Source organism: Homo sapiens, chromosome 8 (assembly GCF_000001405.40).
Source record: "Homo sapiens chromosome 8, GRCh38.p14 Primary Assembly".
NCBI classification, from domain to species: Eukaryota; Metazoa; Chordata; class Mammalia; order Primates; family Hominidae; genus Homo; species Homo sapiens.
The window spans coordinates 17,777,582-17,800,498 of record NC_000008.11 but is presented as its reverse complement, the minus strand read 5'-3'; the positions used below and the strand labels follow the sequence as shown (position 1 = coordinate 17,800,498).

The window sequence follows — 22,917 nt, the reverse complement described above, 5'->3', positions numbered from 1 at the left end:
TTTGTTGATTTTTGACTTGGAGTAATTTGGGACTAGGAAGGAAGAGGTTAATTCATTTAGCCTGCGTAGTTACACATACTCTGTTAAATACTGTTTGTTTGAAGTAGTCAGTGTTCTAAGAAAGGAAATCCAGTGTGTTTTGTTTGTTTCAATGAAACCAAAGTCTTAGGCAAAACGGTGCGTGGAAGCTTTCAAGTTTTGCCAGGTGCAGGTGATCGAAAGTCAATCATCACTAAATCACAGCGCTGGGGCTGGAGGGTGGGAGTAGGGGTGTTACCAGTGAATTTCAGGAGGAAGGGAGGCAATGCAGGAGGGAGGGGATTAAAAAAGAGAGTCATTGCTTCCTGGGAACCAGTGACCTCTTTAAGGAGGGTATATACAAGATAACAGTGCATGGACAACTTTAAAAGGAATTGCATAAACGGAATTGCAATTCTGTAGACAGTTTGCTTTTTCAGGGATGGTTAGGGCAGGAAATGATACACAACTTAAAATGGTGATGTCCTGTTAGTACAGTGCTTTACAGTGTAGAAAGTGCTGTTACAGATTTTTTTTTTTTCATAGGCAATATATTCCATTAGGAAAGCTATACAAAGAAAAGATTAGAACTACATGCTTATCCTTAAAACCAAAGCTAAAAAACCTTAGAAGTGGAATTTAGTTTAAAATAATATGTAGTTATTTATGTAACTTGCACCACGTTTTTTCACCTGTTCTTTTTAAAATCAGGTTTATGAAGAGAAAATAATTCTTGGTAAATCTGCTTGGTAGAAAATCATGCTTGGAACAAGACCTTTTAATTATGTCAATAAGTCAAGGTTACATTTTGGAGTATAATAGGATTATAAGATTCTAGATAATATCTTATATTTTTTGGAAACTAACCTGCAGTTATTACACTCAAGCATTTAAAAAGCCTGTTACTTAATAGCCCTGTTCTGTTAACCCTGTTTGTTTTGATTTCAAAAGTAATCCGTGCTTGCTGTATAAAAATAGGTAGATTGAGAAAAGTGAGTTAAGCAATTTCAGCAAAGATAATCACAGTTAATATTTAAGAAAATACTTGTTAATATATAGAAAAATTTTTTATAGTTATATAGTTTATCTAAATATACTATTGCGTGGAGGTTTTTTCCTGATTAATGTATCATGAAAAATTTTCCATGTCATGAAATCTTCAGAAATCTTAGTGGCTACTTAATATTACATTACATAGATGTATCAAACTGGTTTTCATTTATTTCCACTTACTAAATATACTTTTGCAACAAATACGTTTTTAAAACTTTATGTGCAGGGTTAATATCCTTAGTGCCCTTGAAATACAGTTGATGGTTGGAAGATCTCCTCATACATATTGACCATTTGCTTTCCAAAAAATGTTTAACCAAATTATGTTCCCACCAGCTCTCTGTGAGAATACTGGTGTTACCGTATTCTTGTCAACATGTAGAATCATCCTTAAAGGGAAAAAAAAAAAATTCTTCCCAGGTTTATAGGTGAACAGTGCTTTCTCTATATTTAAACTTCAATTTCTTTGATTACAGATGATTTGAACACCAAAGAAATCTAGTTGTTTTCCATTTTGAAATTTGATGTAGTGCCAGATTTTTCTCCTGGGATATTAGTATTTTTCCATTAATTCATAAGAGCCTTTTATGGATTGATAGTAAATCTTTGCCATTCATATTGCAGATACTTTTCCCATTTTATCTTTGCTTTATATATTTACAGTAGTTTTGACATACACAAATTTCTTTAATGTTGATAAATCTGTTGACTTTCTCAAAACAGAATTTTTAACACTTCTAAATCGTAGCTTCAGAACTATATGTGACTGTGGTAGAAGATTTAAAAAAAATTTTCCAGCCGGGTGCGGTGGCTCACGCCTCTAATCCCAGCACTTTGGGAAGCCAAGGCGGGCGGATCAGGAGGTCAGGGGTTCGAGACCAGCCTGGGCAACATGGTGAAACCCCGTCTCTACTAAAGATACAAAAAATTAGTCAATTGTGTTGGCATGGATCTGTAATCTCAGCTACTTGGGACGCTGAGGCAGGAGAAGCGCTTGAACCCGGGAGGTGGAGGTTGCAGTGAGCCGAGATCACTCCAGTGCACTCCAGCCTGGGCAACAGGGCAAAACTCCATCTTAAAAAAAAAAAATTCCCCAAATTCTAAATTAGAATCTTTTCAAATTCATTGCAAGAACTTCCATATCTTGGGTTAGAGACTGTTGCAAAACTAATTGCATTTGTTGATGAGAAGCCACTGGGCCTGGTATATACTATTAGGAACAACATCCTTTGAAATCAGAGCAGAAAGTTTTAAATCCCTAAGACTGAATGTTTTTCAGATCTGTTATTCTGTGATTATACAAAGTAGGCTCACACTCCATTTATTGTCAGTAATCTATTTGTAGTATCATTTTGCCAGATTCTTCTTTTTATAGTCATTATTGTGGTTTCATACGGACTTGTTGATGTCCAGACAAATGTACTGCATACGTAGTTAAAAAATTTCCTGGATTAATTTCCAATACTGCTACTCAGCAAAGTATTTATTTGGGGGGGCGGGGGAACACGTCTTCCTGATATCTCAAAGTTGGGTTCTTTCTCTGTGTTGTGAAAGCTTGAATATACCCTGAAAGTCCTCACTAAAGGAAGTGTGTTCTCCATGAGAGCCTGAGTCCCTTTTATTCCCCAAGCTTAGAGCGTAAGAGTAAGCGATAGGACCATATTTGAGCCATAAGGATGAAATTGGAGTTCAGGATCTGCGTGCTTAGGGGCACTTAAAAATGGCCTCAGACTTTCTCTGGAAGAAGGCAGGCCCCGGAGGGAGGTGACCACTTAGCAGCGGATACAGTGGTGACTGTGGCCTCCTGAGAAGGAGGATGAGCGATCCCACCCACAGGAAATGAAGGACTAGATGGGATGGTATGAACTCAGCTAGCTTGAAATCTGGCCCCGAAAAGCCTACTTTGACCAGGGAGACTTTATACCTGGTTTTGGATGGTCCAGTATAACCAGGAGTTGAATTTGACTTGTAATTTCTTCTAACTTTTTATTTTATTTTATTTTATTTTATTTTTTGAGACGGGATATTGCTGTGTCACCCAGGCTGGAATACAGTAGCATGATCATAGCTTACTGCAGCCTTCACGTCCCAGGCTCAAGCTATCCTCCCGCCTCAGCCTCCTGAGTATCTGGGACTACAGTCATGTGCCGCCATGCCTGGCTAATTTTTGTATTTTTTGTAGAGACAAGGTTTTGCCATGTTGCCCAGGCTGGATTTGAACTGCTGGGCTCAAGCAAATCCTCCCACTTCAGCCTCCCAGAGTGCTAGGATTAGAGGCATGAGCCACCGCCCTCAGCCTAAAAATTTATTTTGAGATGGAGTCTCACTCTGTGGCCCAGGTTGGAGTGCAGTGGTGCGTGCGATCTCAGCTCACTGCAACCCCCACCTCTCAGGTTCAAGTGATTCTCCTGCCTCAGCCTCCTGAGTAGCTGGGATTACAGGTGTGCGCCACCATGCCTGGCTAATTTTTGTATTTTTAGTGGAGACAGGGTTTCACCATGTTGGCCAACTTGGTCTCGAATTCCTGACCTCAAGTGATTGCCTACGTCAGCCTCCCAAATGCTGGGATTACAAGCGTGAGCCGCTGTGTCTGGCCTAAAAGTCCGGCCTAAAAATTTATTTCTAAACCAAGTTTTGTAGATGATTGCCCTGATGATGGTTATTTATTTATTTTCTTAGAGAAAAATCCCTCAGTAATCTTTGAATTTACTCTTGGATATGGGGCAATTTTCCATGATGACATTAATCATGACTTTTTCTTGCTCACTTGGCCTTAGAAATGGTAAAAGAGACTTCCATTTTGGAGGTGACAGATTTGGGGGCTCTTTGCCATGTGGATACATAAGATAAAACTTCCTTTTCATACCCTAGAAGCAGATTGGCAACTTGTGATTGCTCTGATATATAAATGTTACACAATCAAGGAAGAAAGGGTGGGTTTTCTCAACAAGTTTAGAGTGTGAACAAGGTCGAACTTGGAAGTGCTTCACTTAAGTAAATAGCTTTCAGGTACTTTAGAAGTACGTATTTGCATATAAATCTTGATTACAAAATAACTTTGTTCATTAAAGTTTAGACTTCAAGCTGTATATTGTAAAGTAATAAAAATGTATTTATTCAAAGATAAACTGCATTTAAATCTTGCTAGCAGGCCCATATCTAAAGTAAGAATGTTCTTGGGGCTGGGCGTGGTGGCTCATTGTAATCCCAGCACTTTGGGAGGCCAAGCCAAGCGGATCACTTCAGGTCAGGAGTTCTAGACTACCCTGGCCAACATAGTGAAACCCCATCTCTACTAAAAATACAAAAAATTAGCTGGGTGTGGTGGTGGGCGCCTGTAATCCCAGCTACTCAGGAGGCTGAGGCAGGAGAATTCCTTGAATCCAGGAGGCGGAGGTTGCAGTGAGCTGAGATCGCTCCACTGCCCTCCAGCCTGGCCAACAGAGTGAGACTTTGTCTCCAAAAGAAAAACAGAAAAAAAGAATGTTCTTGGGCCTGGCTCAGTGGCTCACACCTGTAATCCCAGCAATTTGGGAGGCCAAGGCAGGTGGATCACCTGAGGTCAGGAGTTTGAGACCAGCTTGGCTAACATGGTGAAACCCGACTCTACTAAAAATACAAAAGTAGCTGGTGTGGTGGTGGGTGCTTATATCCCCGCTACGTGGGAGGCTGAGGCAGGAGAATCACTTGAACCCGGGAGGCGGAGGTTGCAGTGAGCCGAGATCGCATCACTGCCCTCTAGCCTGGGTGACAGAGTAAGACTCTGTCTAAAAAGGAATAAAAGGAATATTCTTGTATACACATTAGCTACATAAATAAAAGTAAGAAAAACACACATTTTACCCTCATTCTAACCTAGAAGCTTTATTGCTAGGACACAGTGTGAACTCATCTAAAGGGAAGAACAGACTAGGAATGGATCAGTCTTTCAGGTAAGATGTATTGGAAGAGGTTTTTAAACCATTAAATGACCTTATTCTTTTAAATGCATAAATGTGTACCTTATAAGTAAATTGTGTCTTAAGCATGATGCAGAAGAAAAGAAAATTAGTATTTAAATTTGAGGACTAATCAAATATAATTATTCTGATCTTCTACTGTTAACTAAAACATTTAAGGACATTTTGTGTCCTAAAATGACATTGAAAAGGGAATCTTGGGAAAGACTCATACTTATCAGGAGACTAGGAAGAAGAGGCGTAACATACATTCTTGTGTAAATAATGTTTGTGACAGTGTTCATTAAGTCTTGACTGTTGGGTAGTTAGCTTATCTTTTATGCTTTTTGTACATTGGAAACATGGTAATATTTAACTCAGGTGTTATTTACACATATACCAATCTGGATGAAAAGAATCAATATTTCTTCACCTTATTTCAGATAAGCAGTTCATAGGAGGTATTCAGCAGTGTTCAGTGACAAATAAGAAATTTATTTTCCTTAATGTTTATTTTGTAGATTTTTGCATGATTGTTAGCTATGAATGATACGAAGTTGAAACTGCATGTCCTCGTAAAACATAGCTCCCTTGGCTAGCTTTACGGAATGAAAATAGAAGCCAGCATAGATATGAGCAGTTTCTGAGATGACATTGAAACATAGACCTACCCCCTTCCCCTGACCTCTGTGTCAAGGTGGTTGAGTCATATTTCCCAGAATTCTGATTAAGTCACCTTGCACTGTTAAAATCTTATTTTTTATTATACTGTAAACTGCTATACTGTTAATCATTTCGTTGTTAATCAAATTACAGAATTGAACCATATTTGCTTATTACTGTGACCCTAAGCCAACAGGCTTTAATTGAAGTGAGGATTGCAGAAGTCCTCCTTGCTGGTGGGTCAGGATAGGGTAGAAGGATATTGGAGAATGAGAAATGGATTTAAAAGGGCTGAGCCATGCCAAGACCTAGCTACCAAGAAAAATTCACGTGTTGTATTAGATCCCCAATCTAGGCCCCACATACAGAACCAAGTCATTTATACGTAGTGTATAGTTAGGCTTATATTTCATGTAAAATGATAAATAAAAAGCATGAGTAAAAATCCTTGCTGTTAGAATATTATGTTTGATTTTTTTTTCTTTTATCTTTTTTTTTGAGACAGAGTTTTGCTCTTGTTGCCCAGGCTGGAGTGCAGTGGCGTGATCTTGGCTCACTGCAGTGTCCGCCTCCTGGGTTCAAGCGATTCTCCTGCCTCAGCTTTCTGAGTAGCTGGGATTACAGGCATGCACCACCACGCCCGTCTTCATTTTTTATTTTTAGTAGAGACAGGGTTTCACCATGTTGATCAGGCTGGTCTCGAACTCCTGACCTCAGGTGATCCACCGGCCTTGGCCTCCCAAAGTGCTGGGACTACAGACGTGAGCCACTGTGCCCGGCCTGTGTTTGGTTTTCCTCAGCCTCAGCCATTTTTGAGCACTTTCTATGGGCCAAACACTGAGGTAGAAGAGAAAAAAAAGAATTTGACCTCTTTTCTTGGAGGAGTCAGAGAAACCCCAATCATTGTGAAAAGTGCAGTTTTGGAGATGTTAGTAAGTGTTTGTGTTGTTCGAAATATTCTCCCAGGTTGTTAACGTTGGGCTTTGCATTAAAAATTCCACCTGCTGACTTGACCAAAGTTTGGTCACGTAGGTTGTATTGACATTCTTGGTTATATAAAGCATCCTTGTCATTAATCATGCTTACCCTTTTCCTTCTCACCAAAAGGATTAAGAAGGAAAATACTTAGCACTGTACTCTTTGGCGTCTCTTAATTTCTCTCAATGAGAATCTTTAGTTACCTTTTCCAGTATATTTTTGCTACATCTTGTAAGCTCCTTAAGGATAGGGTCTAAATGTTCGGATGCTGGGTACATTTTTACTTTTATAATTATTTCTCCCAGATGTGGTCTGGAATAAATCATCTAGAGCTCTGATGGCATGGGAATTTGAAATTCTTTTGTCAGATAGTCACAGCTACTGGAAGGTCTTTTAAACCACAGGTATTAATTTCCTTATTGCTTTTCTGTGCCTTGCTCCTTGCCCTCTCCTCTTGCCCTCACCCCCTCATCCATTGTTTCATACTCAGCAAGCAGAGGGAAGGTAGTTTACCCTCAGTCTTGTGTCCGACTGAACGGCCATGGCTTTGGGAGCAGAGCATCAGAGCTGGAAGGTGCCAAGTTTCCTGATGCTTCTGAGTTACTGTTTTATTATGAAGAGTCAGTTTGAGAACATCTGGCATACCCATGTGCAAATACATGTACGTAATTGATTCCACTCATGATTTATGACATTCCCTATTCGTGCAGACAATCGCAAGTTGACAATTTCTTTTGACTAGGGACTTGGGCTGTTTTCTGTTTAGAGAAAAATGTATGTACAACTTAGGAATTCAGATAACTTTGCAGTCTAGGATTCTTTTTTCTCATTACATCTAATAAGATTTGTGTTTCAGAGTAGTTTTGCATTTATGTAAAACTTTTCAATAGTTCTCTAGACTTGCTGGTTATTGAACTTGATTTAATGCTGTGAAGAAGTATTTTCTGTTTAAGGGTTAAAAAATTGTTTTGCTTTCAGATTTTTTTTGAGACAGAGTCTTGCTGTGTCACAGGCTGGAGGACAGTGGTGTGATCTCGGCTCACTGCAACCTCCGCCTCCCAGGTTTAAGTGATTCTCATGCCATAGCCTTCTGAGTACCTGGCACTACAGGTATGCGCCACCGCGCCTGGATAATTTTTGTATTTTTGGTAGAGACAGAATTTCCCCATGTTGGCCAGGCTGGTGGCAATCTCCTGGCCTCAGGCGATCTGTCCACCTTGTCCTTCCAAAGTGCTGGGATTACAGGCGTAAGCCACCATGCCCAGCCTTCTGATGTTGCTTTATAGTGTTTTTGATGGCACCTCTGCAAAGGGATTTACTTACTCTTAATTTGAATTTAAAAGAGTAGGGTCAGTTAATGAAAAGGGAGGTAAGAAAAATCCTACATTTCTGTTTCTATGAGAAAACCTAAACCATTTTATATTGCAGATAAGACTATTTTGTTGGAAAGTTCTGGTTACAGCTTATTAGGCTGAACATTTAAAAATGTATAACCTTGTAGATATATAATCAAATGAAAACTATTTTCTCCTTATATGGTGTGAGTTGTTTTGATCTTGAATGATTAGCCCTCCATCCTTCAGTGCTAGGGACTGCTTTTCTTCTCTCCTTCCTCCTGTTTTTATTGAATTTCAAATAATAAATAGAGGTATTTCACCATTTAGCTAGATTTTGCCCACCATGACATCCATTATGAAACCCTGGGGACATACTTTATTATAGAATTGGAAAAATGTAATGGGTATCCAGGACATTTGGTGCAGTAATGTCATAGAGAGTGCACAGACTTAACAGGCAAAATTGGGTTCATGTCTGAGATTTTCCTATTAGCCATGTGACCTTGAGTGAAATTTCATTACCTTTGCTCCCCAGTTGGCTCATCAGGACGCTGGAAGGTGGGGGTAGTACCTTGTCTCCTGGGGTTATTCTGACACAGGTGCCAGGTATATAGAAAATGATCAATGGGTGCTAATAACCTTCCTTAGTCTCTAGTTTTAAATTAAATCTTCTGATTCATAGATAGGTGTTTCATTTAATTTCTGCTGCTTAGCCTTGGAGGTGTTGCTTGGATCTGCTGGTGCTGTCGGTTGGGAGTTAAATTCTAGGCTCAGGAGGCTGATAACTTTCCCTCTTCCTTAGGAGGAATTGATTTGTAGCAAACATTGGAGATTGTTTATTCTCAGACTCCAGCTTTGTCACCTCTTGTTTTTCTTGAAAGTTTAAGTCTAGTGAGCTGCTGATACTCCATTTGAACTGTGTTTTCAAAAAATCAATGTAGATACTTTTATCTTTGGTAAAGTCTGTAAATTATGTTGCCTCTTTGCTATCAGTCAGCACATTCGAAAGACAATTGAGTCATCACTTTGAACTAATCTTGGACTTGTGGATATTACAGTACTAAGGTTCCCTGTTCTGATTTTTCACCTGTAACATAGTCCAGAATATTTGTATTTTAGAGTTTCAATTGTAAAATGTTACTATTAATATACAGTATTTAAATATAAAAGCAATTTTGTATTTTCATCTTTTAAGCATAGTGAAATATTAATTCCCTATGTTTGTGGCAAGCACATTGTAAATATGATATTAAGAACTGATCACATCAGCCCTGCGGTTGGGCAGAGCAGGTCATGAGTGCTTTCTTTTATACTGAAGGAGACTGGGGACCAGAACTATTTGGATAAATGTTTTGTCTTATGGCGAGTAAGTTATGGAACTGGGACTGGACTTGTACCGGTCCATTTCCCACACCCAGTATGATGCTGTTATTTGACTAGTTTTAATGCGAGTGGAAGTAATAAGTTTCTGTTGCCAGGATTTTCTATACATTGGTGCTGAAATGGGATAAAACTTCTCCCCGCCCCCACCGATAGTTTGCTTTGTCACCCAGGTTGGAGTGCAGTGGTACGATCCGGCTGACTGCAACCTCCACCTCCCGGATTCAAGCGATTCTCCTGCCTCAGCTTCCTGGGTAGCTGGGATTACAGGTGCCTGCCATCATGCCCGGCTAATTTTTGTATTTTTGATAGAGATGGAGTTTCACCATGTAGGCCACGCTGGTCTCGAACTCTTGACCTCAAGTGATCCACCTGCCTTGGCCTCCCGAAGTGCTGGGATTATAGGAGTAAGCCACTGTGCCAGGCCAAGTCATGCAGTAGTTATGATATGTAAAATTTCAAATGACATAGCTGAGAATTACGGTTTATTTTCACATTTTCTAATCACAGAACGTAAAGCCGAATGTTAAATGTTGTAAGCCATTCAGATTAGTAGCACAAGTGAAAAATTGACAGTTAGAGATCATTACAATCATGAATTCCACTTACATAGGACTTTATAGCTTTCAGACTGCTTTTTGCAATAAGTCCTAATAGAACTGTATAGAAACAATCATTTGAATAATTAGATTTTTTGTATCTCACTTCATAGATTAGCAGTCTGTGGTCTTATATGCTGGATAGCAACTACTATTTTTTTTCCTGAAACTTTTTTTTTTTTTTTGAAAGGGAATCTTGCTCTGTCACCCAGGCTGGAGTGCAATGGCTTCATCTCGGCTCATGGCAACCTCTGCCTCCCGGGTTCAAGCAGTTCTCCTACCTCAGCCTCCCGAGTAGCTGGGACTACAGGTGTGTGCCATCATGTCTGGCTAATTTTTTGTATTTTTATTAGAGGTGGGGCTTCACCATGTTAGCCAGGATGGTCTTGATTTCCTGATCTTGTGATCCACCTGCCTCAACCTCCCAAAGTGCTGGGATTACAGGTGTGAGCCACCGTGCCCAGTTGAAACTTTTTTTAAAAGTAGAAATCTTGAATTCTGTTTCCTTATTGTAAGCTACTGAGCGGCAGGTAATTAGTGGAGGAAATGGAGGTAATCCCAGATGGAAACTGAAGTAGGAGGTGAGGCCAGTGTCAGAACTGGGAAGAGACGAATGCCCTCACAAAACCACAGTTTCAGCTGAATATCAGTCATGATTTTTAGCCCTAAAAGTCATCAGTTCTCTATTTCCAAATTGTCTTCTAAGGAATATATAGGGTTAGGACTGTATAAATAGGCCCTGGTTGGAGGTTGGCTATCGTTGGGCTGCTGCTGTGAGTTAAATGTGTATATACAGTCACCTTCTGTTAAAGAACTCTTGCTAGCAGAAAGCCTAACATAGGTAATCATTTTCAAGAAAAGGGTGCAGGAAGTCGATGTTTAATAAAGGTTGGGAGGTATAAGGTGAGGTGCCAACTTGCGTAACTACACACACATAAAGACATTTTCCATTTGGTGTTGGCGTGATTCAAATGGAAAATTATTTCCTTTTCACCAAGTGGACTTTGGAGAGAGAGGACAACTCTGAAGTTTCTAAACAAGGAAATGTTCATGGTCATTTAACACTTTGGGGTAAAGATTTTATATTTCAGCTGTAAACTCTGCCCTGCCCACGCGATCTACCCCCACGTCCCTCAAACAGTCTGAGCTACCTTTTAGGTAGTTTTTAAAAACTAACTGCATATAATTTAAAAACTAAAAGTGGCCGGGGGCAGTGGCTGACACCTGTAATCCCAGCACTTTGGGAGGCCAAGGCGGGCAGATCACCTGAGATTGGGAGTTGGAGACCAGCCTGACCAAATGGAGAAACCCTGTATCTACTAAAATTACAAAAGTAGCCAGGTGAGGTGGCTCATTCCTGTAATCCTAGCTACTGGTCAGGCTGAGGCAGGAGAATCGCTTGAACCTGGGAGGCGGAGGTTGTGGTGAGCTGAGATCGTGCCATTGCATTCCAGCCTGGGCAATAAGAGTGAAACTCCGTCTCAAAAAAAAAAAAAGACAACTAAAAGCATGCACAGTCTGTACATCAAATCATTTCTTTAGCATAACTGTACAGTCTTTGAGAGTGCCTTTGATAAGCCCTGGGGGTAGATGGTGCTTTTAATTATTTACTTCTATACAAACAGCTCATTGTATAAAAGTAAATACTTTGGACCCAGTACTATCCTGAAACTTACTGTTTTGCCTCTTGTTCTTTTTTACTGATTTTCATGACAAAGGTTACTTTCTGATGGAATTTTGAAAATCATCTACAATATGATGTGATATCTAAGAGAGCAAGGGCTTTATTTTGTTCCTTCCTCTGGGAGGAGTATTTAGAATTGTGCTTTTTATTTTTGTTCAATAAACTGTTGAAGGAATGTTGACTTAGATTGAGAAATATAGTTGAGATTCTCAGAAGTCGGCTGAGTTAGGACTGCAGGCAGCTGGCACATGATCCTTCCTAGCCTGCTTTTCAAGGTGGTGGTTTAGTCTGTGGCTGTCGTACCCTACTGGGTTGTGGACAGAGACCTACTTCAGTGGAAGGTTCTAGATGAATATGTTCAGGATGTAACAGTAAAACATGAAATTCTGAGTAAAGAGACAGAAACGGTAACTAGTAGCTATCGTCAACATTTAAGGGTTTCTGTTGGGTAGGAAGGATTAGTTGGCAAGCAGATTACAGAAAAAGAATGCGGAAAAAATCTGTAGATTCCAATAAGAATTCATGAATATGTCTCAGAATACACACTGCTGTTCACTACCACATGATCTTTGAAACAATTTTTGAGATAACATTAAGTGTGATGAAATGCAGTGCACCTGGCTTAAGTGTGCAATTATATGAGTTTTGACAAATACATATTGGTGTAACGATCACACCAATCAAGATACAGAATGTGTCCATCACCTTAGAATGTCTTTTTTTTTTTGAGATGGAGTTTTGCTCTTGTTGCCCAGGCTGGAGTGCAAGGGCACGATCTCGGCTCACTGCAACCTCTGCCTCCTGGGTTCCAGCCATTCTCCTACTTCAGCCTCCGGAGTAGCTGGGATTACAGGCACCCACCACCACGCCCAGCTAATTTTTTGTATTTTTAGTGCAGGTGGGGTTTCACCATGTTGGCCAGGCTGGTCTTGAACTCCTTACTCAGGTGATCCGCCTGCCTCGGCCTCCCGAAGTGCTGGGATTACAGTGTGAGCCACTGTGCCCAGCCAGAAAGTCTTCGTGACTGGATGAATAAACTATTGAGCTTTGGTCATCAGAAAAGTGAGGATGATAATAAGGCTTGTTTTACAAGGTTGTTGGCATAACAGTAGCAATGTACAATTGTGTATTAGAAAGTTTCCAAAAATTTTATTTAACTCTAAAACGACCCTATGAGATGGATTGTTGAATCAGTTTTTGTCCATGAGGAAAATGAGGCGAAGAATATTTTTGGCTTGTAACAGGTAACCCAGTTCCTGAGTCAGTTTAGGAGCTCCTTGATAAACGTATGCTTCTCATATCAGGTGGCTATAAGGTCCATAGCTGTGCAGACCTACCAGGTGTTTAGGTGATTTCGTTATTGTGAGAAGGAAGGTGGAAATAGATCAAGATTACACATTGGAGTAGAGTTTAATGTCCATTGCTGCTATTTATTAACTCTGTGTTTTGAGCAAGGTACTCAACTTCTGGAAACATCAGGTTTAGCATCTCAGAGGAGGAGGGATGGGGGAATGTGACTGTCATGTGACCTGTCTGTCACATGGGACTGTCTACTGGGAGGATGACTGTGGGAACACTGTGGACTTTGAAGAGCTGTGCACTGATGTCGTTATCTTTACCCATGCTGGAGGCTGTGGCCTGTTCCTCATCCTGGCCTCACAAACTGTGCTGGCCTGGCGTGGAGCAGTGGAATTGACAGGGTGTCAGGGAGCGGTGGCCCCTCCTTGGCAGTCCTTGGATTTGCCAAACACTGTGTTTACACAGCGCTTTCTCTCACCAGCCCTTATGATGTCCTGAAGCTTCCGATCGCTTTTCAGCAATGAGGTCAGCCTCACTCCACAATGCTTGTCAAGTGTACTAGGAAAGAGTCTTTTTTAAAAATTCAACTTTTATTTTCTTTCTGAAATGTATAGCTGTGATACAAAACAGTATATGCTGGTTTGAGGTGGAAGAGTTCATAAGGGATCCGAAGAACTGATGTACTGTGGCCTGAGCGAAAGTCTCTTGTGATAAAGCGCTACCCCTGCAGTGTTAAATGTTGGTTGTTAACGTAGCACCTTAACTCTTAATATCACATATGAAACCCAGCTCCTTCATACCGCTCGGGTGGATCCATTTCTTCCAGCCCCAGCCAGTCTCTCAACTACGGAAGCAGGTGGGACACTTACACATTCACATTGTGACCCCAAATGGAACTTTATTTCTTTATAACCCAACTGCCTCACACATCCTCATTTCACCTCACTTGTAGAGAACATATAATGTGGCAACCTCAAGATAACTCAGTGTTTTTTGGTTTCAAAGAGTCGCTTGCAGATAAATATCTCCTTGAGGATTTTAAGTGTGGTCAGTTCACGCTTCCTATCTGAGGCTCTTCTCTCCTCTGAAGGATGGATTTCCTCCTTCCTCAGCGGCTCACCCACTTCTGAGATGGTGCCTGGGTCCTTGAAGAGCTTTTATCTGAGATGGTGCCTGGGTCCTGGAGGAGGTTTTAGCATCATGGCAGCGGGTGAGGACTGTCTGCTGCCAGGCACTGCCTTCCAGACCTCTCTGGTCTCTACGGAAGTAACTCATCGGGCTTGGTCTTTGGGTGCCTCTGTCCTAGGCTCGTGCGTGTGTTGGTGATGTGGCTTCCATTGCAAGAAGGGTCAGAATACACTGACCTTCCTTGACGTGTTCTAAGCTGCTTTTTTTTGTTTGTTTTTTCCAGAGATGGGGTCTCGCTCTGTCACCCAGGCTGGAGTGCTTTGGCACAGTCTTGGCTCACGGCAGCCTCTAACTTCTGGGCTGAAGTGATCCTCTGGTGTCAGCCTCCTGAGTAGCTGGGACTATGGGCATGTGCCACCATGGCTGGCTAATTTTTAAATTTTTTAGGGACAGAGTCTCACTGTGTCGCCCGGGCTGGTCTTGAACTGGGTTCAATAGATTCTCTTGTTTTGGCCTCCCAAAGTGCCGTGATTACAGGCATGACCCATGGTACCTGGCCTTAGGCCTTTGCTGATCCATCGGCCCTCTCAGTACTTCCCTTGGTGTATTTCTTTCTCTCCTGGTCTGTTGCTTTGATCTTTGCAGAGGTGAGAAACTGCCCTCCAGATCTGCCTTTGTCATCTAGATCAGAGGTTCCAAATGTGCATCTGTGACCCTGGGGTACCTGGTGACAGAATGTTGACTTGAACACGGTGAGATGGAATAAAAATACAGTGTACCAAGATTTTCATAAGGCTAAATGTATATTACGTAAACTAAAGGAATGTTCTTTATGCTGCAGTTTTGTACCCCTTTCACTTTTTGTATTAAAATAATGTCCTTTTATGATGTGTTGGCAGTCGTACAAATTTTGTCTGAAGTGCCCCTCTTGGCAAAATTAAAGCTGACATCCCCATGCTGTCTCTGCAGAGTTTTGGAGTGTGGATGTCACAGGTCCATAAAATCTGAAAGGCTGAGAAGCACTCACCTGCCTATGCCTTAGTCTCAGCTCAAGCTTTATCTTCTTCTGGAAGTGACATTTCACTGTTTTCTCCATATCTGTAACAGTGGAGCCTATTCTCTGGGTCCCTTTAGCCTCCAGTCGCTTCTACCTTTGCAGTTTTTGTAATTATTTACTTGTACATTTTTGTCTTCCTGGCTGAACTGGAGGCTCTTTGGAGGCTCTTTGAAGGCTGGGACCATCTTGTTCAGCATTGTGTCCCCATCACCTAGCAAAGAAGCTGCATGTGATAGAGGACCTAGGAATGTTTGTTGCATGAATAAAAGTTCTTGTTATAGGTGGGGCGCAGTGGATCACACCTGTAATCCCAGCACTTTGGGAGGCCGAGGCAGGTGGATCACTTGAGGCCAGGAGTTCAAGACCAGCCTGGCCAACATGGTGAAACCCCGTTTCTACAAAAAATACAAAAATTAGCCGGACATGGTGGTGCACACTTATAATCCCAGCTACTCAGGCAGCTGAGGCCCGAGAATCACTTGAAGCCGGGAGGCGGAGGTTGCAGTGAGCCAAGATTGCACCACTGTACTCCAGCCTGGGTGATAGAGCAAGCCTCTGTGTCAAAAAAAAAAAAAGTTCTTCTTGTTATAAAAAGGTCACTCTGTAACAGGGATAAGGAAGCTGACAGAGTGGTGTGAGAAATGCCCCCATTCTGTAGCCACGGAACTTCTCGGAGACTGTTCTGCATGCTATTGTATACATTCCTCTCTTTGTAGCCAGTTGGAACTCAATCGTAAAAATTACACAGGGATCATTTCATTCTTGAAAGTCTCTTAATATGGTGGCTCATGCCTGTAATCCCAATACTTTGGGAGGCCGAGGCAGGCAGATCACCTGAGATTAGGAGTTCAAAACCAGCCTGGCCAATATGGTGATACTTCATCTCCACTAAAAATACAGAATTAGCCGGGCATGGTGGTGCGCACCTGTAATCCCAGCTACCTGAGAGGCTGAGGCTGGAGAATCACTTCAATGTGGGAGGTGGAGGTTGCAGTGAGCCGAGATGGCGACATTGCACTCTAGCCTGGGCAACAAGAGTGAAATTCCATCTCAAAAAAAAAAAAAAAAACAGTTGTAAGAAAATTAGCAGGGTTTAGATTGCCAACTAAAACATCTTACACTGATGTAACAGCAGGGAGTAGGAGTATTCTCAACTGTAAATGTGGATTCAGTTAAACCACACTGCCATTTTGCCTATAACGGCTAAGCTATAGGAAGTTAGTATCAAAAGGAGAGATGTTATTTTATTTAACTTATGATTACTTTATGAAGAGTTGAAATCATTTGGAGAAAGGCATGAATGGATACTGAATTATTTGCTTTTAAAACGTTTGGGGGCTGTTGAATTCCACAAATCTCAATTGGGTGAGTGTGGGTAGAACATTTCTCTGCCATCTTTCAGTGGAAATCTTCATTGCATTCATCTCTGCCTTTAAGCTCTGAGTGACCTTCATGTCATCGGGGCCCATAGGTCTTTGGGAATTGGAGTGGTGGTCCGGGCCACTGTCAGTGGTATTTGTTGACCACAGCAGAGCCTCAGATTGCCGTTAAGGATGGAGTCTGCATGTTACTGAATTGTTTTTTGAGAAATTACTGCTGGGGGTACTTAGTTGGTGTCTGTCTTGCTTGAGCTTCAGATACCAGTGATTGTAAAGGCTGTCACCAATAGGCTGTCAGGCCCTTGGAAGTCAGACTCAAGGACCGTCTTCATGGAGCCTCAGGCTGAGTTGAACACAGTAGCCACAGGGATACAAAGCTAAACAATGCCCAACTTGTGAATTTCCACATTCTTCTCATAGCACAACAGCATGCGCATTGCATATCTTTTTATTTAAAAAAAAAATTACATCATCTCCTCCTCCATGTCTAGTGAGGACAGATTCTAAGGCCTGGTATGCTCCCTCTTCCTACACTCCCATCTAAGAAAGGCAAATAGCGGCCAGTCCTGGAGTGCTGAGACTTTGTTCTGCTTATGAGGGCAAGAGAGGGAACTTGGCTGGTCCATGTTGTGTTCCTTTGTTTTCCTGGCACACCCCCACCTTTAGCAGTGTTTGGAAAATTCCAACTCCAGAATGGATGGAATGGAGAGAACACCTCACTCACCTTCACAGCCAGAGACTTCACTGGGCAGGTGCTTATTGTCAGAGCTAGGACCAGTGAGCAAATCGTCTTTATTTCTTGGAGCTGTAGCTCAGAGTCAAGCCAGGTTGCCTTCTCAAATACAAGGGCCAACATGTTATCCTCATTGCGTTCTTAAGGGCGTGTGTGTGTTTGTTTGTTTGTTTTGAGACAGAATTTCACTCTCTTCGCCCAGGTTGGAGTGCAATGGCACGATCTTGGCTCACTGCAAACTCCGCCTCCCAGGTTTAAGCGATTCTCCTGCCTCAGCCTCCTGAGTAGCTGGGATTACAGGCGCCCACTACCACACCCGGCTAATTTTTGTATTTTTAGTAAAGGTGGGGTTTCACCATGTTGGCCAGGCTGGTCCCGAACTCCTGACTTCAGGTGATCCACCCACCTCTGTCTCCCAAAGTGCTGGGATTATAGGTGTGAGCTACCATGCCCGGCCAGGTTTCATAAGGTCTTCATTTAATGTTGCCAGTAGAAACCTGGGAATGAAACATTTTTTACACTGTAGACTTGTGGTTTCAGAAAAGATGTTACAATTCTTTACAAAATCCAAGTTAGGGATAAAGAAAAGGGATCAGTTTTGATGTCATGATGGCCTTGGAGGAAAGGTGTGATATGAAATACATAAATGTATTTTCTCTGTATTTTTGGATGTACTCTCCCATAAAACTTCACTGTTAAAACATTTAAACCTAATTTGAGGGTCTTATGCTTCATTTTAATAGTGAGATGGAAAAACCAATCAAATATTTATCTTGAATTTGTAGTTCTTAAAATTCAAGTTATTATAGTCTTGTTTCCTAGAGGCGTAGCAGAAGATAATGTATAGTTTTAGGATCAGGTGTATAGTATCTCTGGTAGACCTTTTCCAATTAGAAATGATACAGTATATGGTTATGTCTATAAATAGCACAAGGGAATATTTAACTTACTACATCATCTTGGTATGCTGTGCTTTTTTTGAAAAGTGACTAACATTTTCTTTGAATATTTTTATCAATACCTTTTCCCAAAGCTGTTACACACATCTGAAATCTCACTGTTATGAATGGACATGACATTTAAGGGGGGAAAAAAATCCCATCATTGAGTTGTTTGAAATTTCCTGGCTAAAATCCATGTATGAGTAGTATATCTGTGTCAGCTTTGATTTGTTAGCCCCATAAAACCACGGACTTGCCCATTTGAAATGGGAGCCCAGCCTTGGGTCTGGCCAACCGAGGGCCATCAGGTTAGAGGGCGCTGTCCTTGGAGGGCCTTTATAGCACTTAGGACCTGAGACTTGCTGTGTTAGCAGTGGAGTGTTGCTAATCCCACAGGGACCTGCCTGGCTTCTGAAGGGTTTCTCTCTAAAGGCGGCCTCATGATTATCTAGGGCCAAGTCAGGAATCAGAGGGGCTGCCAGCCCAAAAATAGCCACAGCCTACAAAGAGGGACCTCATGGCACAGAGCCACCACTGCCTTCCTGATGCCAGAGGTTGATCACATGATGGGGGCAGGAGGCCGTCGAGCAGGAAAGGGGTGCTGTCTAAAGACAGGTGTGGCCAGTGCAGGGGAGAGCCAGCATTTCTTCTTGGCGTGTGTAGGGGGAGGTTAAAGTCTTAGTGGTTGATTTAAAAAATTTTAGAAATGAAAGTAAATATTGAAGTTAGTCATTTTATGAGGCTAGGCTTACTGGGATATGTTTCTGGATAATTCTAATTTGTAAGAAACTCTTGTGTTTAATATTAATCACTGTCATTCAGAGGAATCGAAACAGTAACATGTCTTGTTTCCTTATACTGCCTTTGAACACAAAGTGAAGCCTTGTTTCAAAACTTGCAGACAACAGGCCATTTAAACAAAGACTACACATTTTAAGTTGAAATTTAGGGGAGGATTATTTAACATTCTTACTAATAACTCTTTGGTTACAATGTGGTACAAATTGTATGTTGAAGTCATATGGGCTGGAAGAAACTTTGATTGGAAATTCAGACAAAATCTTTTCAGAATGGTAGTTGTTTGCTGATTGGCTATGAGATATTTGAAACGTAGTATTTCTTTTAGAGACTCCTTTGTTCCATTTTAGGTGGAAACAGATCACTTGAGAAGTTGTGCAAGTAAATAATCCGTGGTCAAAAACAGGCACACTCTTATTCCTTGAAGCCTTCAGGGTACTTATGGAGATCTGATTAGATAAGAGGATAATTCTGTTTGCACACCTGTTGATTTAGGGGTGAAATGTCATTGAGTTTCCTAGATTCTTCCACAGCCCCTCAGGATTGACTATGAAGTGTAAGCTGTGTCATCTGATTTGTCATGGCAGTGAGCACTCCCTTACCTTCGATGATGCCTCACGTCACCTTTTGCATAAAGGTTAGTCTGTTGCTAATTATTGTCTTAGGTCACTGGGTCCCTTTTTTGTATTAGATGTGATAGGAGGCCATTAGAAGGCTTGGACTGAGGAATGGCAGGAACTGAGTACAATTCAGAAGGATGACTCTGGTTGCTGTTTTGAGAATATATTGTAAGGAGGCAGAGGCTCATGATTTGACCAGTTAGTAGTCCCAGAGAGAGACAGTGGTGGCTTGGACCTGGGATAATAGTGAAGGTGAGGAATGCTTGCTTTTGAAATGTATTTTGAAGGCAGTGCCTGTCGGAGTTGCTACTGGGGAGAGAGGGAAAGAGGCAGATTATTGCTGACTCCTAGGTTTTTGGCTTGAGGTATATTCATGGTGTCTTTTGTTGAAAACCAGGAACACTAGGACAAGAAGGAAATGGGCAGGGGTCTGGAAGCCCAGAGTTCCCTTTTAGACTTGAAGCTTGAGATTGTATCAGACTGTTCTTGCATTGCTAGATTGAAATACCCGAGGCTGGGTAATGTATAAAGAAAAGAGGTTTAATTGGCTCATGGTTGTGCAGGAAGCATGTTGCTGGCATGTGCTTCTGATGAGGCCGCAGGCAGCTTCCAATCATGGCAGAAGGCAGCAGGAATCTGTCATGTCACATGGTGAGAGCAAGAGCAAGGGGACGGGGGAGGTACCACACTTTTTTTTTTGGCTGTCCCTTGTGGAGCAGGGCAAAGCCATAGGAAGTGTGCCCAGAGTCCGCTGCCACACAGTTTCAACAACCAGATGTTGCAAGAACTGACTCCCTCTTGTGGACAGCCCCAAGCCATTCATGAGGGATCCACCCCCATAACCCAGTCATCTCCCACCAGGCCCCACCTCAACCACTGGGGATCACATTTCAACATGAGATTTGGAGGGGACACACATCCAACCCATGTCAGAGATTCCTGTTAAACATGTAAGTGGAGATGTCACATTGACAGTTGAGAATTCAAACCTGGAGCTTTGGGGAAAGATCAGTGCTAGAGATGAGTATGTGGGAATTGTTATCGGAGTGTATTTGAAACAAGAGTGAGTGAAGGAAGAGAAGGAATAAGGGGCTGCCCCCGCCCCCCCTCCAACACTTGGATGTTGATCAAAGAAGAATCTCTTAGAGGCATTTGCCAAAGAGAAGTCTGTGAGTTTAGGAGGAAAACCAAGATAGAGTAGGGCCTCTGAAGCCAAGTGAAGGGGGCCTTCTTTAAGGTTGATTCCCGTATTGTGAAGAGGTTTCGATTTGTCAAACTGGGACCATTTTTTCCAATTTTTGGTGAGAGAGAGAGTGAGTGAGTGTCATTATCATTTAGAAACGTTGATAAGCTTCAGGAAACCTTGTTAAATAAATAATGGCAAATTCAGCCAGAAGTAAGAACAAATACAACAAATCTTTTAAACACCAGAACATGGGTTTTAGTTTACCCATAGGCAACCTCATTTCAGGGAAATACATACATGTGTTGATCATTTTTGAAATATTGACAAGGATTGGAGGAACGTACTCCTTGATGGTCCCTGAAATCCAAAACACATCATTACGTCTCCTGGTCACTGTCTTTAGGCTGTTTTAAAACCTTCATTTACTAGGGCTTCTTATGTAGGAGGCCATAATCCTTATCACAGCAAAATAGTAAACTGTAACCACCCGTCACATGTTGAAACAGTTGAGTTGCTGTTAACTACTGCTGTAATGACACATTTAGAAACCTTTCCAGTCTCTGCCTCCTTACCTACTACTTATTCCTGGGGTCTAAGCTTGTGTGACTTGTTCAGAGAGGCCTTCCTTGACCCCTAATCCCGTAATAGCAATCAGAGCATCCATGCTTTCCTATGTGACCTGTAGTTTGTTTGTATAGTTGTGTCTATTTTTTTGTCTATTTTGTTCACTCTGTACTAGCTCATAGCAGAGCATTTGGCATTAGATGGGCACTCAGTACATTTGATGAATGATGAATGTCATCCAATATTATAAAACAGACACCTTACAGGTGCCTCAGTAGCTTTGGTTTGGTGTCTGAGCTCAGTGTCTTCTTTATTTTTATTTTTATATATTTTTGGAGATAGAGTCTTACTCGGCCACCCAGGCTGGAATGCAGTGGTGCTATCTCAGCTCACTGCAACCTCCCCCTCCAGGGCCCAAACGATCCTCCCACTTCAGCCTCCCAAGTAGCTGGGACTACAGGCACCCACCACCACACCTGGCTAATTTTTGGATTTTTTGGTAGAGACAGGGTTTCACCGTGCAGCTCTAGAACTCCTGGGCTCAAGGGATCCGCCTGCCTCCTCCCTCCAAAGTGCTGGGATTACAGGCGTGAGCCACCACACCTGCCCTCCTCTTTAAGTCTGGTTTATTGAGGTATAATTTACATATAGCAGAATTTGCACTTTTCGGGTGTATAGTACAATGAATTTTGACAAACACCTGTAGCTGTGCAACCACCAACCACACTCAGCAAAATAGATTTTCATTATTTCAAAGTTTCCTTGTGCCCCTTTCAGTCTTTGCCCATTCTTAGACAAACACCAATCCTGTTCCCTTAGATTTGCCTTTCCAGAATATTATATAAATGGAGTTATAGAGTATGGAGACTTTTGTGTGTGACGTCTTTTGCTTAGCGTATGTGTTTGAGATACATCTGTGTGGTTTGTGTATCAATGGTTTACCTTTCTGTTGTGGAGTGGTATTTCATCAGATGAATGTACCACAATTAAAAAAAAATAATCTACCCGTGATGGACATTTGGGTTATTTCAAGTTTTTGGCAATTAGATTTTTCTTCCTAGTTTAATAACACAGGCAAGATAATAAAATGGCATCAGTGACCCACAGCTCCATACCCCCACCCACATCTGTTTTTGTTTTCCTGTGTTGCTTTTTCTACATATTTTACATAGCAGGAATCATAAAACACAAAAATATTTTTCCTAGTTTTGTAAACTGCATAATTTATAAATAGTTGCATTTTATTGAATCACTGTACTGTGGTTTTCTAATTCCTTCTTGTCAACATTTTCATCATTTCTAAGTCTTCACAGATGTGGAAAATATACTGAAAATCTGCTGAAATATTTCCTATAATAAATTTCTGACGATAGTTTTCTTGAGACTCTTAATGGAAAGTCATAAAAATTCAAGCAAATAGGGACAAAAACTGGATGGGTGTGATAAGGATATGGAGTCCTTCTAAGAACTTAGTGTCTGGCAGGTTCTCAGGAACCAAGTCAGTGAGGCAATCTAACCTTCACTGTTTTTCATTTCTGCTCCCCTTGGTATGTTGGTCCCAT

The 22,917-nt window shown here is 41.5% G+C and overlaps 1 protein-coding gene across 9 annotated transcripts in view; it reads left to right on the top strand.

Annotated features, from left to right (window-relative positions):
• MTUS1 (microtubule associated scaffold protein 1) overlaps positions 1 to 22,917 on the top strand; it is a 157,720-nt gene that overhangs the window by 1,023 nt on the left and 133,780 nt on the right. Inside the window, exon 2 of one of the 9 annotated variants that reach the window (NM_001363058.2) lies at positions 4,946 to 5,003. The exons of the other annotated variants lie outside the window; for them this stretch is intronic. The gene's annotated coding sequence lies outside the window, so the exon portion shown is untranslated. The remainder of the gene's footprint in view (positions 1 to 4,945; positions 5,004 to 22,917) is intronic. 9 annotated transcript variants of the gene reach the window in all.